Source organism: Homo sapiens, chromosome 9 (assembly GCF_000001405.40).
Source record: "Homo sapiens chromosome 9, GRCh38.p14 Primary Assembly".
NCBI lineage: Eukaryota > Metazoa > Chordata > Mammalia > Primates > Hominidae > Homo > Homo sapiens.
The window spans coordinates 84,645,367-84,664,918 of NC_000009.12; the positions used below are offsets into that span (position 1 = coordinate 84,645,367).

General features: G+C 39.7%; 1 long non-coding RNA gene across 11 annotated transcripts in view; it reads left to right on the forward strand.

Annotated features, from left to right (window-relative positions):
• The window catches only part of LOC102724036 (uncharacterized), a 247,231-nt gene extending 235,566 nt beyond the window's left edge, over positions 1-11,665 (forward strand). For all 11 annotated transcript variants that reach the window (XR_007061623.1, XR_007061626.1, XR_007061624.1 and 8 more), the window contains 2 exons: positions 8,053-8,208; positions 10,071-11,665. This is a non-coding gene — a long non-coding RNA (uncharacterized LOC102724036). The remainder of the gene's footprint in view (positions 1-8,052; positions 8,209-10,070) is intronic.

Sequence of the window (19,552 nt, forward strand, 5' to 3'; positions counted from 1 at the left end):
CATTTGGGTTGGTTCCAAGTCTTTGCTGTTGTGAATAGTGTCACAATAAATGTACGTGTGCATGTGTCTTTATAGCAGCATGATTTGTAATCCTTTGGGTATATGCCCAGTAATGGGATGACTGGGTCAAATGGTATTTCTAGTTTTAGATCCTTGAGGAATCACCACACTGTCTTCCACAATGGTTGAACTAGTTTACAGTCCCACCAACAGTGTAAAAGCATTCCTATTTCTCCACATCCTCTCCAGCACCTGTTGTTTCCTGACTTTTTAATGATCACCATTCTAACTGGCATGAGATGGTATCTCATTGTGGTTTTGATTTGCATTTCTCTGATGGCCAGTGATGATGAGCATTTTTTCATGTGTCTGTTGGCTGCATAAATGTCTTCTTTTGAGAAGCATCTTCTCATATCCTTCGCCCACTTTTTGATGGGGTTGTTTTTTTCTTGTAAATTTGTTGGAGTTCTTTGTAGTTTCTGAATATTAGCCCTTTGTCAGATGAGTAGATTGCAAAAATTTTCTCCCATCCTGTAGGTTGCCTGTTCACTCTGATGGTAGTTTCTTTTGCTGTGCAGAAGCTCTTTAGTTTAATTAGATCCGATTTGTCAATTTTGGCTTTTGTTGACATTGCTTTTGGTGTTTTAGTCAGGATGTCCTTGCCCATGCCTATGGACATACTCTTCTTTACCTCCATTGTGGAGCAGTAGTCCAATTTTCCCTTGGTAGTGAATGTAAATCACTCCAGACAACATCATAGTTCCCTTCTTGGTCTTTTGACTCAGACACATGAGGAACCCAAAGTGGCCAGGCAGAAGTCTTAACTTCCAGGTCAAGGAATCACTCACTGTTGTGTCTTCTGAAGAAAACATTCCTCCCTCTGGACCTGTAGACCTGCATGCAGAACATTAAGTCTTGGGAATAGGAAGCAAACATTTTGCTAGTGGATCACTAGAGGTAATAATGAGTGAGAACACTCCCGTTTTTACCTGTTGAATCCTGGCTGTGGAAGAAACAGTGTCATATACTGGATACTGATTCAGAGCATATACTGCCTTCTGGAGGGCCTTGTCCTAGCCCAGCAAGGTTTTGCCACCTAGTTGATGCTGTATGTAGCTAAATCTTCACAAGCTCTTTCCACGGTTCTATCAGTCAAATGCTTTAGAATAGTGGGGAACATGGTAGGAGCAGTGAATCCCATGAGCATGAGCCCATTGTCACACTTCTTTGGCTGTGAAGTAAATTCCTTGGTCAGAAGCAATGCTGTATGGAATACCATGACAGTAAATAAGTCATTCTATAAGTCCACAGAGGGTAGTTTTGGTAGAAGAATTGCATTCAGGGAAGGCAAATCCATATTCACAGTGTCTATTCCAGTGAGAACAAAAACAATGCCTCTTTCATAATAGAAGTGGTCCAATGTAATCATCCTGCAACTAGGTAGCTGGCTGAACTTTTCAGGGAATGGTGCCATATCAGGGGCTCATGGTTGGTCTTGCTTGTGCCATATTCAGCCCTCAGCAGTGGCCATAGCCAGTCAGCTTTGGTGAGGGGAAGTCCATGTTGCTGAGCCTATGAATAACCTTGCCACCAGGGCCACTGTGTTCATGAGCCCATGGGCAATGACTGGGGTGGCCATCTGTCAGTGCTGTCAGTCAGGGCCTAATAATCCTTGCTGCCAGGACCACTGTGTTCATGAGCCCATGGGGCAATGACTTAGGTGGCTGGGGAAGGAGGCTGACTTTTATCCAAGAGTGGGTCATTTTATCCATCTGATTATTAAAATTCTCCTCTGCTGAGGTCACTTTTGGGTGAGCATTCACATGGAACACAAATATCTTTTTGACTTTTTTTGCTCATTCTGAGAATTCTAAGAGTCCTATCCACGTACCTCTTTCCCAGATTTCTTTATCACCAATTTCCAGTCATGCTTCTTCCAAGTCCCTGACTATCCAGCCAAACCACTGGCTTAGCCCATGACTTGGTGTATAATTGCACATCTGACCATTTCTGTTTTCAAGAGAAGTGCACAACCTGGTGCACTGCTCAAGGTTTTGCCCACCGGGAAGATATCCCTTCACCACTGTCCTTAAGGGATGCCCCAGAAAGGGGTTACAGTACTTTTGCTTATGGTTGATACCTGCATATTGGGCAGAACCATCTCCATGCCAGGCCCAAGTTTTTTTTTTTTTTTTTTTGTCAGCTGATCATAGGGAACTCCATATGCAGCCATAGATGCAGGCAGGGAGAGATAAGGCAGTGTAGCAGGAGTGGGGACTGTGGGCATTTGGGCCACTTCTTCATGTAGCTGATTTGTGATTTCATTGCATGCCCAGCCTAATCATATTACTTCCATCTGACAATGGAGTGCTGTCGTGCATGCCCAATGCCACGGCTTGGTGGGTCTTAAAATACCCAGTCCATGATGGGCGGCTCAGGTAGTGTGGTCATTTGATAGCCCATGCTCATCTGTTCAGTCTCCACTAAGGCCTGGTAGTAGGTTAAGAGCTGTTTATCAAAAGAAGAACAGTTATCAGCAGATTATGGTAGGGCCTTGCTCCAAAATCCTAAGAGCCTGTGCAGCAATTCATCTACAGGAGCCTGCCAAAGGCTCCAAATAGCATCTCTATCTGCCATTGACCCTGCAAGCACCATTAGATCTGCTGGATCTTATGGCTTAAGTAGCAGAGTAGCTCACACAGAAGCCAGGACCTTTTGCAGAGCCTTCTCTTGTTTTGGGCCCCCACTCAAAACTAGCAGTTTTTCAGATCCCACATAGTAAATGGGCCAGAGTAACACACCCAAATGAGAAATGTGTCTTCAATGTTTGAAGAAGTCCACTAGGCATTGTTCCTCTTTCTTGCTTGTAGGAAAGACGAGATGCAACAACTCATCTTTTACCTTCAGAGGGATAGCTTGACATGCCCCATACCACTGGACCCCTAGAAGTTTCACTGAAGTAGGAGATACCTGATTTTTAAAAATTTATTTTAAATGAGAAATAAAAATTGTATATATTTATAGTGTAAAACAAGATGTTTTGATAAATGTATACATTGCAGAATGACTAAATCATGCTAATTAACATATCTATTACCATATGCTTAACATTTTTTTGTGGTGAGAATACTTAAAATCTATTCTCTTAGCAATTTTCAAGTATACAATATATCGTTTTTAACTATAGTCACCATGCTCTTGAATTTATTCCTTCTGTCTAACTGAAATTTTGTAACCTTTGACCAACATCTCCCCAATCTCTGTGCCCCACCCCAACTTCCAGCCTCTGCTAACCACCATTCTACTCTCTGCTTCTATGACTCCATCTCTTTTAAATTCCACGTACAAGTGAGATCCTATGGTATTTGCGTTTCTGTACCTGGCTTATTTAACATAATGTCCTTCAGACTCCTCCATGTTGTGGCAAAAATGACAGAATTTTCTTCTTTCTAAAGGCTGAATAGTATTTCAGTGTATGCATATATACCACATTTTTGGGTTAATTTTATTTTTTTTAATTGGCAAATAATTGTTCATATTCCTGGGGTACATAGTGATGTTTTGATACATATAATATATAGTATAGTGATCTGATCCAGGTAATTAGCATATCCACAATCTCAAGCATTTATTTTGTTGTGTTGGGAAGGCTCAGTATCCTCCTTCTAGCTATTTTAAACTGTATCATCTATTATTGCTAAGGATGGTCGTCCTACAGTGGCATGGAACACTGGAACTCATTCCTCCTATCTAGTTGTAATTTTGTATTCTTTAACAGACTTCTCCCTATTCCTATCCTCCCCTTTCCTTTCCTTCCCAGCCTCTCATATCCTTGTTCTATTTTTTACTTCTATGAGATCAACTTTTTTGAGCTTCCACATATGAGTGAGACCAGGTAGTGTTTAACTTCCTGTTCCTGGCTTATTTCACTGAACATAATGTCCTCCAGTTCTATGCATGTTGCTGTGAATGACATGATTTCATTCTTTGTTTATGGCTGAATGGTATTCCATTGTGTGTGTATATATATGTATATATCCCATTTTCTTTATCCATTCATCTGTTGTTGGACACCTAAGTTTATTCCATATATTGGCTATTGTGGATAGTTCTGCAATAAACAAGGAGGTGCCGATGTCTCTTCACTATAATGATTTCCTTTCCTTTGGGCAAATTACAAGCATTGGGATTGCTGGGTAATATGGCAGTTCTACTTACAGTTTCTTGAGGAACTTCTATACTCTTTTCCCTAATGGCTGTACTAGTTTATATTCCCACCAACAGTGTAAAAGAGTTCCCTTTTCTCTGCATCCTTGCCAACATTTGTAATGTTTTTTCTTTTGATAATGAATAAATCAAATTATTTAAAAATCCAAAAGTAATTTAATAATTAAATTAAATTGAATTAAATAATTTCTGGGTTTTCTATTTGTTCAATTGGTCTATGTGTCTGTTTTTACGTCAGTACCATGCGCTTTTGATTACTATAGCTTTGTAGGAGATTTTGAAATCAGGTAGTGTGGCGCTTCTAACTTTGTTCTTTTTGCCCAAGATTGCTTTGGTTATACTGGGTCTTTTGTGTTTCCATGAAAAGTTTAGAATTTTTTCTCTATTTCTATGAGCAAATGTCATTAGAATTGTGATGGGGGTTGCACTGAATCTGTAGATCATGTTGGGTACTATAGGTATTTGAACAATATTAGTACTTCTATTCCATGAACACAGTGTATTTTTCTAATTATTTGTGTCTTCTTCAATTTCTTTCTTTCTTTCTTTCTTCTTCTTCTTTTTTTTTTTTTTTTTTGACGGAGTCTCACTCTGTCATCCAGGCTAGCATTCAGTGGCGCGCAATCTTTGCTCACTGCAACCTCTGCCTCTTGGGTTCAAGCAATTCTCCTGTCTCAGCCTCCCAAGTAGCTGGGATATTACAGGTGCCCACCACCATGCTTACCTAATTTTTGAACTTTTAGTAGAGATGAGGTTTCACCATATTGGCCAGGCTGGTCTTGAACTCCTGACCTCAAGTGATCCACCTGCCTTGGCCTCCCAAAGTGCTAGAATTACAGGTGTGAGCCACTGTACCTGGCCATCTTCTTCAATTTCTTTAATCAATGTTTTATAGTTTTCAGTACACAGATCTTTCACCACCTTGTTTAAACTTATTCCTAAGTATTTATTTTATTTAATGTTTTTGTAGCTTTGTCCGGTAGTTCCTGAATTAACTGATTTTCAGAATATTACATAAATGGAATCAAGTAGTAGTTGACCTTTTGAGATCAACTTTTATCACCTAGCATAATTCCCTTGAAGTACATCCAAGTTGTTGTGTATATCAATAGTTCATTTTTAAAATATTACTGAATAGTATTCCATTGTATGGATGTACCATGGTTTGTCTAACCATGCGTACATTGACAAAGTTAAGAATTCTCTCAATTTTGGGCTATAATGAATAATGCTGCTCTGACCATTCATGTATAAGTTTTTGTGTGAATGTAGCTTTTAATTTTTATCTGGGATGAATGTTCGAAACTGCAGTTGCTGGGCTATATGGCAAGTGCATTTTTAGTTTTAGAGAAAACTATCAAACTGTTCTTCAAAGTGGCTGAACCATTTTACATTTTCACCAACAATGTATGCATGGCCCAGTTTCTCCGCATCATTGCCAACATTAGATGTTAATATAATTTTCACTTTAGCCATTCTCAGAGGTGTGTTGTAATATTGCCATTGTTATTTTAATTTTCCCCAGTGATTAGTGATGTTGAACACTTCTTTGTGTGCTTATTTACTGTCTACTTATTTCCTTTTCAATGAAATAACTGTTCATGTCTAAGTACATTTTTTCATTGAATTGTTTGTTTGTTTTTTATGTTGAGATTTGAGAATTCCTTGTAGAAACACAGGTTCAAGATATAGCTTCCTTTTTTAGTTATGTGGTTTGCAAATATATTCTTCCACATTGTCATTTGATTTTTAATCTTCTCAGTAGATCTTTCATAGAACAGACATTTTTAATTTTGATGAGGTGTAGTTTATTAATTTTTTCCTGTGGATTATACTTTTTTGCATCAAATCTAAGAACTCTACCTAGCCCTAGGCCCCAAACATTTTCTTCCATGACTTTTTTTTTGAAATATTCTATAATTTTACATTTAAGTCCATGTTCCATTTGGGATAAATTTTTGTATGAGCAGTAAAGTGTAGGTTGAGCTTATTATTGCTATTTTTGCTTTTGAACATATAATTATGTAAATCCTTTTTGTATATAAAGAAATGACAGCAGTCAATTGTACCATTCATGATGCTCCCTTACTTGTGTTTTTGTAAACTTTCTTGAATGGGAGACAGGAAGATGGCATGGAGCTACAGCTATGGTATCTATTTATGTGCCTACCTATCAATAAAATTTTGTGTCAGCAGAGGGAAAGGGCTTTAAACAAGCAAGCATAAGCCAAATAATCCTGCAGACATGTTTGTCCCACACAGTGTTCTAAAAAAAAATCTTGAGCTGACTTAAAACAAATTTGAAGATTTAATATGCAAATGTAGATCTACAAATTCTTTTTAAAAATCAGAAGATTCAGTGATAGTAGCTCCACATTCCTGTCTGGCAACCATGTCATTGCCTGGAGCTGCTTGCTTCTTTAGAGAAGACATGCTCTCTCCAGTTCACTACAGTCTCCACCAATCCTTGCTGACCCCCCAACACTGAGACCCCTTTTCAGTGTCACCTCTCATTATTGTTTTCCTTGCATTATTGCTTTAGTTGTCCAGTGCTTGTTTCTATGTGGTGCTCTCATCATTCCCTTTAAATCCTCACATTTGTGACCTCCTTAGGTTTCTCTTCTTGGCCTGTCATTCTTTATTTCCTTCCATTTCTCCTCTCTCTCTCCTTTACTCTGTTTTTCTTTGATTATTTATTTAAGCCCATTAATTGTTGATTGGTAGTGAAGTGTCACCGAGAGTGGCCTATCACTGGGTGTTCCTAGGCCCTGTAACATCCTGACCCTACAGGACTTCCAGTCATTTTGAAGGCCTAGCATGCAGCATGCAATTTGTGAGTCGTGGGCTTCCAACACAGAAGTGGTGGTAGAGTGCAGAGAATACCCACTAGATCTGTGATTTTGAATAACCTGTCATGCTTTAGTCCTTAAGTTGAGTGCCTGCCCTTCTGAGTTGGGCCACTGAGCTCAGTCATAAAAGCATAAGTGATAGCATCTGAACTATAATTATTCTAAGTCACACTTAAAGTCATTAAAAAAAAGTTGGCTTTTGACTAAGGATGACTCATGGCATCCTGGAGCGTGAAGGCCAAGAAAGAGCAATACCAAAGGGTGGGAGAGTTCAAAATCTTCTGGGAAAACCTAGGTCAGGGAATGTCGGACTTGGGCTCCAACACCTTCTCTCAAACCCCACAAATCATTTTTTATTTGATTTGAGAAAATGATAACATGATAACCATCTTGAGCACAAGATGGCAGTCTTACTTCTGCTTCACTGCCTTTGGCTGTCTGGAGAGAAGTGATAGGAAACAGAGCGGAAACAAAACTGCTTGTGTTGCTGAGAAATATTGAAAAATAAACAGTAATCAAGAAGAGTGATGAGGGAAGAAAAGAGATGGAAAATACATGCAAGTGTTTTTGAGTTTTGTTTTGCTTTGTTTAGAACTTGGCTCTGCTCAGTCTTGAGTCTCTGTGCTAAATACATGTAGGCTGGAGTCTCACGTGTATGTTTCAGCTCTGATCTAGATAGAGCAAAGACCCTAGCAGACACAGGGGATGCAGAAGGAAATCTAGACACCATATGTTCTAGCGCAAGGTAGGCAATGGGTCCAGGTACTTGGACGGAGCAAGTCTTGGGCTAGGCTATGATAACCTCTTTATAGTATTTCTTATGAAACTAATAAAATGAAAAACTTTCTTTTTTATGCAAAGACTTATGCCATACTCTGGCAAGCATATAGACAGAGTTCAACTCATAGGTAGATATTAAAAAGAAGAGTGAAAGAGACTCTTGCTCTCTCTCTCTCTCTTTCTCTTTCTCTGGTAGCCACTGAAAGCTAACTACACTGGAACACTCTCATTTCTGCAAAGAAAAATATCATATCCCAGGATGAAAAGGAGGAGGAAGAGGAAAGGCTAACTTAACAAGAAGCTCTTTGACATTCTTGAATTAGACACCCAACGTAGTCCACGCAGTACGGAGGTAATTTGGTCCTTATGGCCAGCCCTAAGATTGTGTCAAAAACACCAAAGAAAAGGAGGCTAGAAGGCTGCTGCTGCTCCTGGGGTAAGGTGAGGTTACTCTGTGCCTTGCCACTTTTCCCGATGGCCAGCTACAGGGCAGTGCCTTTTATAGGCACAGAGGTACCATCTCAGCTCTCTGTCATTCCTTCCATACTAAAAAACATGGGCTAAAGTGACACTTTCAATCCTTGTTGAAGTGATATTAAGCCTTCATTGTATGACTTTCTTCACTCACAAAATGAGGTTAATAAAGGTAATACAACCATTTTTGGGAGGCAACATCCTTCACATGGAGAAAGTTTCAGGGCTGGGCACAGTGGGTCATGCCTGTAATCCCAGCACTTTGGGAGGCCAAGGCAGGCAGATCACTTGAGGTCAGGAGTTCATGACCAGCCTGGCCAACATGGTAAAGCCTCGTATACTAAAATTACAAAAATTAGCCAAGCTTGGTGGCACGTGCCCATAGTCTCAGCTACTTCAGAGGCTGAGGCAGGAGGATCCCTTGAACCCGGGAGGCGGAGGTTGCAGTGAGGCGAGATCCCGGCAGTGCACTCCAGCCTGGGTGACAGAGTGAGACTCCACCTCAAAGAAAAAGGAAACTTTCAGACTTAAAGTTGCGGACATTCAAAGACAATATCTAATTAGTCATCCAAGAGCCTCGTGAGATAGAGTTTTGTTAAATGTAGAGTTGCAGGCACAGAAAGGCAAATTGGTAACCTAACACCACACTATGTCTTTGTTCCATAAACAACCTTGTGATATTTCTTCGAATAATATTTATTCATTTATTTAGAGAACAGAATCCAAAGGACAGTGGAGATTTAGCACCAGAGGCAGTGGCTGATAATCTTTGATAACTTTGGGGTTGTGAGACCACTGGCAGTGCTCTCAGGATATCCTCTCCCAATCCAAAATGTACTGAGTGACACATCTTTTCAAATTTAGGTTAAAAAGAATTGATGTTTTAAAGTTGTATTTTGAGGATCTGATACTCTTTTAAGATTGTTAGAAATATTCTGGACTACTGAAAACACAGAATTAGCTATAGGAGTAGCTCCTGCCCTCAGAAGCTGAATTATATTTGGGGACTGATTTTTCTATTCTATATATGTCACTTGAGAGGCTAAGAGGAAACAGAAGGCAGGAGGGCTTCTCTCATTTCCAGCACCTTCTCCTTAATCCATAAGAAATCTTTCCCCATGCACAGAAGATGTCTCCCAGGTGGTAGAGAAGGTTTACTGAAACTTTTGAAGAGCAGTGGGGGGAAGGTCAAAGGTGCAATTTCTGTATTTGCAAAGAAACAGGGCTTGCAGAATCTCTAGGGCTTCTAAACAGAAAAGAGGTATTTTTATTACAAGACATGAGGTCAGTCAATTGATCACAGAGGTGTTTTTTTTTGTTTTGTTTTGTTTTTGTTTTTTTTTTTGAGAGAGAATGAGGGTCTGTCACTCTGTTACCCAGGCTGAAGTAGTATAGAGGTGCGATCTCAGCTCACTGCAACCTCCTCCTCCCAGGCTCAAGCGATTCTCCCACCTCAGCCTCTGGGACTATAGGCAGGCACCACCACACCTGGTTAATTTTTGTATTTTTTTTTGTAGAGATGGGGTTTTGCAATGTTGCCCTGGCTGGTCTCAAACTCTGGGACTCAAGCGATCCACTCACCTCGGCCGCCCAGAGTGCTGGAATTACAGACATGATCCACCGTGCCCAATCCCACAAAGGTTCTTTAAGAAAGAGAAACTAATTAGGTGAAAAATAACAGAATATCAAGGAGTGGCTTCATTCAGCAGAATAATTTGTTTTCTGTTGTTTCTTCACTAGGATGACTTCAGAAGTGCAATTCTGATATGGACTTTGTCTCCCTAAGGCTTTCAGTTCCTCATATTTAGGATAAAACAGAAGTTTATGTAAAGCCAAGGGAGAGGGTCACCGGGAGAGGGAAGGAGGAACAGCAGAAGGAGAGGTCCACACATGAAAATACTTGGAAGCGCCCCAGGGCCTATCAGATGCAGGTCTTGGCGGAAATTACCAAACATACTTTAGACAGGCTGCTGTGTTGCTGAGTGTGGACTGGCCTCAGGGCCTGCTGATCAAAGCAAAAGGAAGCAGTGAAAAAAACATCACCATGTCTTCTTAGAGTCTAATCTGGGGGCAAGAGGCCAGCATGCACAGTTGGTGCTGATTTTCTTGGGCGGATAGAGGAAAGGTGTAGGCGTGGCCAACATTTGAGCAGCATGTGGTTCCTCTCACACGCCATGCTGTTTCCGGCCTCCTTGCATTTTACTCATGCCATCCTCCTGGTCACTTCTTTGAGATATTAAGTGCATTCTTTAGGACTCAGACTCAGCTCAAGGGTCAGTGCATCCATGAAGCCTTACCTGGATCCCAGAGGGAGCTCTGTGCTCCTCCTTTGTCTCCTATAGGACCCAGTACATGCGTCCAGTATTATCCATACACACTGAAATGATCTAGCATGTGTCTTCCCATAGGATTTCAAATTCTTAGAATATAGGAGTGATGCCTTCTTCCTACTTATATTTCCAGTGTTAACAGTGCCTGTCAATTGACTTGAAGATAACTAAAAGTCTGGTTGTTAAGGGCTGCTTCCCACCTCCAAATACTTCCCTGGAAGTCATTGTATGGGCACTGACATTGGTAGGTCTCCACTGGCTTGTAGATGCTTCTGATTATAAGGTAGTCTCAGATGCCTTCAGAAAGTTCTAAGACTGTATAAAACATTTCCTTCACAACCAATAACTGTGTATTATTGTTCGTGTAATTCCAGAAGTTATCCTTTTGATAGAGAGCAATTACTTTATTGATTGAGAGTTAGCTAATTATGTAATAAAGGTAAAGATTTGCATAGAGAAGTGTAAGAGACATGGAGAAGATTCTTGGTGGGTGGTGAGGGCGGGTACATTTACACCAGACCAAGACTGATCTGGCTGTGGCGCTGGAGATTAAACTGTTTAAATATGGGATCCTAAGAAGACTTCTGTGCATTCTAGACTTCAAGAGACAGATTGCATTTTTTTTTAGGAAATGTAGATAAAACCCTTTGACTGAATGACTCTAGAAAATAATACTGATTTGAGAGAGAAAGGAAATTCTAAAACAAAATCCTGACAGCAGAGGCATGAATGATCCTCATGAGGAAGAAATGAGACTCTGCTTAACTACACTGTAGATTTTGGTGTGGAAGAAGATGGAAGGTGGGTATATAGCCAAATTTTGAATACAATAGGGCAGCACAAAACTGTGACAACAGTGGCAGAAGGACTGAAGTACAGAATGTGTGAAAGTTGTTGTGAAATAAATAGAGAGCAACAGAAAAGGACTATTTGGGCTGGGCAATGGTAATCCCAGAACTTTGGGAGGCTGAGTCAGGTGGATCACCTGAGGTCAGGAGCTCAAGACCAGCCTGACCAACATGGTGAAATCCCATCTCTACTAAAAATACAAAAAATTAGCTGGGCCTGGTAGCGGGTGCCTGTAATCCGAGCTACTAGGGAGGCTGAGTCAGGAGGATCACTTAAACCCAGGAGGCGGAGGTTTCAGTGAGCCGAGATTGCACCATTGCGCTCCAGCCTGGGCGACAAGAGCAAAATTCCATCTCAAACAAAACAAAACAAAACAAAAAGAAAGAAAAAAGAAAAAAAGGACGATTTGAACCAGGCTTAGAGTAAGAAGGATGAAGTGACAAGACCAGAGTTTGGGCAGATGGTGAGACATTAACAGATAATAGAGACAAAGCAGTATTTTCTACCTCTTATTCTGTGTCTTTCTCTGGCGAGGAAAAGGATTTTTCCTTTAGAAATGGTAGAGATAACGTGGTTAACAAGAAGTTGACATCTTAGTTGAGGGAGATCACATAAGAGATATCATAAGCTTATTTAAATGGCTGCAAAGATGATAAAGGTTATTACTGGGTTTGCTTATATGACTAAGGATAAGCTGCCGGAAATACTTGGAGAGAAAGATGGTACATAGAAGAAAGGAAGAGAATTTGTCTCAATTTTCCAAGAAGGAGCAAATTTGGGATCCAGAATACACCTAAATTACTGTTCATTCTGTTTTCTCAGACCGCCTCCACTTGCCTAGCCTACTCTTTCTCTTTTTGGGCTATTTTGTCCAATCTTTCCCCATCACTGGACAGGGAGTGGGTACAAAATGAGCCAGGTGGATTGTGGCTGGGTTTCATAGGGCTAAACTACAAAGGGGAATTTCTATCCAAGACAACTCAGTACACTAGGTCCTGAAAAGGCAGTTGAGATAAATCATTTGGAGAAGCTGATATTAAAGAAACAAGGTGTAAGGATCAAAAGGAACCAAAGGAAGAAATGGAGTTACAGGTTTAAAAAGCTGAAATGCGGGTGGTAGGTTGACATCAGGTTAGAATGAGGTCTGAAGTTGGCACAAAAAATGAACTTCAGAATGACTACAAAGCAAAATAAAAACAAAATATTAATGGACAATACCAGTTTGGTCTTTATGTAATTGGGTATGTGGTGCATAGGTGGCTCAGGCTAAGGGTTAAGAAAGACATAGAATTCAGTTTGATGGATTCTTAGCTGGTTAGACAGTCACCTTCTATGTAAGGATGAATTAATTAGTTAAGAAATAGATGTCAGCATAGGCAACGTTTTTAGTTGAGTGTCTGGACCTGTCATGTTAAATATTCTTTATCACTGACTTAAATAGAAGCATGAAAGGCAAATATATTAGACCTGCAGGTGAAAAAAATATAAGAGGAACAGTTAAAATGTTGGATGGCAGACTTGAAGAAAGGATTCCATTTTCTCTACTTTGCCCCTGAGAGGTTAAAACTAGCATCAACGGAGGAGCATTTTTAGAGAGGCAGATTTAGGCTTACCATAAAATGGAACTTTCTTGCAATTAATGGTGTACAAAGATGAGATTAACTTTTTAATTTAATTTAATTTAACTTTATTTGAGATTGAGTCTTGCTCTGTGGCTAGGCTGGAGTGTAGTGGCGTGATCTCGGCTCACTGCTTCCACCTCCCAGGTTCAAGTGATTCTCCTGCCTCAGCCTCCCAACTAGCTGGGACTACAGGCGTGCGCCACCATGCCCAGCTAATTTTTGTATTTTTAGTACAGATGGGGTTTCACCACGTTGGCCAGGATGGTCTCGATCTCTTGACCTTATGATCCACCTGTCTTGGCCTCCAAAAGTGCTGGAATTACAGGCGTGGGCCACCATGCCCAGCTGAGATTAACTTTAATTCAACCAATATGTATTGAGCTCCATACATGATACTCTGCTAGATATAATGACAAATAAGAGAATTATTTGGCTGTAAGAGAATTTATGGCTAACTTCAGTAATAATCTGTAAAGTGCTTATTTCTAATATCCTGATTAAGGAAAGTTGCTGGAAGTGTTCAAGCCCAGACTAGGAACTGTATCTCCTTGTAAAGGAGATTCCTGCAAATGGTTGAAACGTTGTGCTCAGCCAGTTGGTTTCAAACTTGACTGTGAACCACGATAAGAAATACATTTACAACAAAATCCAGTACAACCTATAATAAAGTTTCATCAAACAATGTTGCCTTTATACCTTTGCTGTTTTCTATTCTAGCATTGTCTAGTCTATTCCGTTAGAAATATCCTAATAAAAGCCACTAAATTGACTTAGTAATGGGTTGCTACCCCAGTTGGAAGAACATTTTGAAGTAGGAGGTGGAACTTGGCTCCAGAGGTAAGGATTCGAACTTCAGGTGAGATTGAGTACTAGCTGAAATAGGGAAGAGGCCAAAGAGCCTCTCCATAAGACACACCCACCAATGCCATGTCAGTTTATCATTGTCATGGCAACACTCAGATGTTAACACTCATTTCCATAGCAACGACCTGCCGACCCAGAAGTTACCACTCTTTGTTAGAAATGTCTGCATAATCTGCCCCTTAATTTGCATGTAATTACAGTGAGTATATATATTATTGTAGACCCGCCCCTGAGCTGTTACTCTCTAACAGGCTGCCTTTGGGGTAACCCTGCTCTGCAGGAGCAGTCATGGAGCTGTAACATTGCCACCTCAATAAAGCTGTTTTCTTCTACCACCAACTCGTTCTTGAATTCTTTCATGAGTGAAACCCAGAACTTTTCTGGGCTAATTCCCAATTTGGGGCTTGACTGCAACAATTTGGTTAATCACCTGCAGAGGTCTGATATAATATAGTGCTTGTGGGTCTTTAAGTACATGGCACCATGTAGTTAAAAAGTGCATGGCCATAAAACTGTTCTTTGCATGAACTGTGATTGTCAATTGCGTTGAACTGGGAACACTTGACTGTCACAATAAATATGGGCAGAGTAGCACTGAAACATCATACTATACTTGTTCATTGAAGCATAAGTAAACTTCTTTGTAACAACTGAAGTTCTTTTGTGATGTGGTACTGTAATAGACTTCCCAGTCTGCAGAAAGGAAAGACAAGAAGAAATGGAAAGAAATAACTTTCTTCTAAAGAAATAATATTGAAATTGTACACATCACCTCCACTTAAATTCTCTGGTAAAAACTTAGTCAAATGGCCACACCTTTACTTCAAAAGAAGTTGGGAAATATAGTTGTTGACTGGGTGCGATCAAGTGTTCTATTACTCAAGAGAAGAATGGGAGAATGGACACTGGGGTTGTGGGACAATTAACAGGATTAAGTAATTGATTAAGCCATAATAGTTAAACCTTGACAAAACAGGACAACACGGGAGCAGGTATGGGTATTGACCTAGACTACCAACATGAACTAAGAAAATAATCCGGAGCTGACCACGAAACCTCGTCAGATGGATGGCCTGCAACTTAGATTTAAGGATCACCCACATGCCCGTGACTCCAGTTTTCTGAGGCTCTGTTGAATTTTCTCCATATGCTCTTCCTTTTAGGTGTTCATAAAAACTTTATAAGTCTGTGTTGACTTAGTATGTGCTGTGTATGACTAAAAGTACAAAAGTGGAAGATTTGGACACAGAGAAGAAAGGAAGTGGGATGAAACCTTGGGTTTGGCTGTGGTTCAGAGTGACCAGGTAGCATACAGTTCACAGACCATCTTAGGCAGAGGTGGGGAAAAGTGAGACCTTTACTCAGAGTTGGAGGATGTTAGGTAGAAAACAGTAGGAAACTGTATAAACTTCAAAAGAGGATGTTGGGGTGACAGGGAGCAAGTGTGGTGCTAATCATGAATATCAGCCTTTGGTTCCATGTGACCTGTGTTGAGTCCTCCATGCTCAAATACTCCCTCTTTTATGGTTGCCATGGTACCTGAAATTCCTTTGGATTACATCTTTTTCCCAGTGTCCTCCACTAAAATACAGACATTCTTGGGAAAATGAAGTGTCTGATGATGAACATTATTTGGATTGTGAACATGCTTGTAGATTCTGTTCCTTCCACTGACGGGAAGGACTCTAGAAATAGGATAACACCGGATCTAAAGGGGAAGAGGCAACGCAAAGAGGAAAATTAGGCATGGTATGGGTAAGGAGGCTGTAAGTTCCAAATAAGTATTCACAGGTTTCCTGGTCTTTTCTCCTCTTACCTCAAACTACCTCTCTATTTCCTCTAAGTTACTAATGTCGTGATTTGGTGTAAATACTTCTCTGTTTTTCTCCATAGTCAAACAAAACATATTCACAAATACTGGCTTTCTTTGTAGGCTCAGACTACATATTGTCATGTGAGATGCATTATTAATATATTGTGGATATGCCTCCAAGTCAATCTATATGAAACTCTTTTTTTCTTTTTTTTTTTTTTTTGAGACTGAGTTTTGCTCTTGTTGCCCAGGCTGGAGTACAGTGGTGCGATCTCGGCTCACTGCAACCTCTGCCTTCTGGTTTCAAGCGATTCTCCTGCCTCAGCTTCCTGAGCAGCTGGGATTACAGGTGCCTGCCACCATCCCCAGCTAATTATATATTTTTAGTAGAGACGGGGTTTCTCCATGCTGGCCAGACTGGTCTCAAACTCCTGACCTCGTGGTCTGCCTGCCTCAGCCTCCCAAGGTGCTGGGACTACAGGCATGAGCCACCACACCCGGCCCTATAAAACTCATCTTTAATTAGGCATGTACTGATGTAAAGAATAGAAGTACAGATCTGTATTCACTTAATGATGGAGACACATTCTGAGAAAGATGTCAGGTGATTTTGTCGTTGTGTGAACATCACAGAGTACACTTACACAAACTTAGGTGGTAGAGTCTACTATACACCTCAAGTATACATTATGGCCTATTGTTTCCAGGATACAAACCTGTACACTACGTTGCTGTACTGAATATAATAAGTAATTATGGCACAATTGTGCGTATCTAAGCACAGAAAAGGTGCGGTAAAAAGAGAGTATAAAAATAAAAAATGGTACTCCTGTAAAGGGCATTTACCATGAATGGAGCTTGCAGGACTGGAAGTTGTTCTGGGTGAGTCAGTGAGTGAGTGGTGAATGGATATGAGGGCCTAAGACATTACTGTGCACCACTATAGACCCTATAAACACTGTACACTTAGGCTACATTACATTTACAAAACATTTTCCTACAATAATATATTAACCTTAGCTTCCTCTGTTTTACTTTATACATTTTCTAATTTTTTAACTTTTTGACTCTTTTGTAATAACACTTAGATTAAAACACAAATACATTTTTGTACAGCTATACAAAAATATTTGCTTTCTTTATATTCTTATTCTGTAAGCTTTTTTCTATTTTTAAAATGTATCATTTTTTAAACCTTTTTTGTTAAAAACGAACACACAAACATCTACATTAGCCTCAGCCTAGAGAGGGTCAGGATCATCAATATCACTGTCTTCCACTCCACATCTTGTCCCACTGGAAGATCTTCAGGGGCAATAACATTCATGTCATCTCTGATGATGATAATGCTTTCTGCTGGAATACTTCCTGAAGGATCTGCCTGAGGCGGTTTTACAGTTGACTTCTTTTTTTAGTAAGTAGAAGGCACTAAACATGGTGGCTCACACCTATAATCCCAGCACTTTGGGAGGCCGAGGCAGGCAGATCATGAGATCAGGAGATCAAGACCATCCTGGCTAACACGGTGAAACCCCATCTCTACTAAAATGCAAAAAATTAGCCAGGTGTGGTAGCACGCACCTGTAATCCCAGCTATTCGGGAGGCTGAGGCAGAGGAATCGCTTGAACCCGGGAGGCGGAGGTTGCAGTGAGCTGAGATGGGCCACTGCACTCCAGCCTGGGCAACAGAGTGAGACTCGGTCTCAAAAAACAAACAAATAAACAAACAACAAAAAAAATTAGAAGGAGTACACTATAAAGTAACAACAAAAGCTAAAGTATAGTAAATACATAAACCAGTAACATAGTCATTTATTATCATTATCAACAATTATAGATGTACTATACATAATTTTACACACTATACTTTTATACAAATGACAGTGTAGTAAGTTTGTTTACTCCAATGTTAACCACAAACAGGTGAGTAATCCCTTGCACTACAATATTAAAATGGCTACAATGTCACTAGAAGATAGAAAATTTTCAGCTCCATTATAATCTTATGGGCCCACCATGGTATATGTAGTCTATTGTCGATGGAAGCATCATAATGGGACACGTGACTGTATTATAATTTATTGACTTGTTCCACTATTAATGGACATTCAGGTCCTATTTTTAGGTATGGGCCACTGTGTCTTCTATTTATTAAATTATGGTTTCCCCAGACTTTTTCAAAGTGTAAAAGAAATTACAGAGTAGGTACTTCTAAAACTAGAACATTACAGAATCTGAGTTTATTTAAAAATCTCCAAACTTTATAATAGCATTCTAAAATTGGAGGTTCTAAAGGAACTCCAGCAGAACAAGAAGTTGATGATTGGAGGATCTAGGTCAGCATTTCTCTTTTGTTTTTAGAAACAACTTTATGGAGGTATAATTGCTAATAAGCTAAACATTTAATAAGTTGATCAGATCGAAACCATCACCACAATCCATCCATCATCATAAAGTTTCCTTGTGTCCTTTGTCATTGCTCCCTCTGGCTCCTCCCTGCCTACTTCTCTCTTTCCTCGCCAGCAGTCACTGAGTTATTTTCTGTCACAATCTATTTGTTTGCACTTTTTTTTTGCATTTTTGTTGCATTTTCTTGAGTTTTATGATCCCATACAGTATGTACTCCTTTTTATCTGATGTTTTCACTTAGCATAATTATTTTGAGATTCATGCATATGACTGCAAGCTTTGTTCATTTCTTTTCATTGCTGAGTAGCATTCTGTTGTATGGGTATGCCACAATCTGTGTATTCATTCGCCTGTCAATGAATATTTGGATTATTACAGTTTTTACATATAAAGATAAAGCTGCTATGAACACTCACGTTCAAGTCTTTGTATGGACATATGCTTTCCTTTCTTTTAGGTAAGTATATAGAAGTAGAATGGTTGGATCACCTGGTAAGTATACGTTTAACTTTTGAAGAAACTTCTGCATTTCCAAAGTGGCCATACAATTTTACACTCCCAGTAGCAGTGTATGAGAGTTCCAGTTGCTCCACATTCTGGTCAACACTTGGTATGGTCAGTTTTTAAAAATTGTAGCCATTCCATGGGTGGATCACGAGGTCAGCAGATTGAGACCATCCTGGCTAACACGGTGAAACCCGGTCTTTACTAAAAATACAAAAAATTAGCCCGGGTGCGGTGGCGGATGCCTGTAGTCCCAGCTACGTGGGAGGCTGAGGCAGGAGAATGGTGTGAACCCAGGAGGCGGAGCTTGCAGTGAGCCGAGATTGCCCCACTGCACTCGGGCCTGGGCAAAAGAGTGAGACTCCATCTCAAAAATAAATTAAATAAATAAATAAATAAATAAATTTTTAGCCATTCCAATTAGTGTGTAGCTATCTCATTGTGGTTTTAATTTGCATTTCCTCAATGACTAATGCTGTTGAGCATCTTTTCATGTGCTTACATGCCAACTGCATATTTTCTTTGGTAAAGTATATGTTCAACACATTTACACACTTTTAAAATGTTGTTTATTATTATTCAGTTTTGAGAGTTCTTTATATACTCTGATATGACTTTATCAAATGTTCAGATATTTCTTACATTTTGTGGCATTTTTTTTCATTCTATTAGTGGTATCTGTTGAAAAGCAGAAATTGTTAATCTTTATAAAATCCAATGTATCTATGTTTTTCTATTTATGGGCTGTGCTTTAATTCTAAGTATTTTGTATTTTTGATTGGCTATTGTAATTTGTAGTTTTTAAAAAATTAATTCATGATTGTTGCTAGT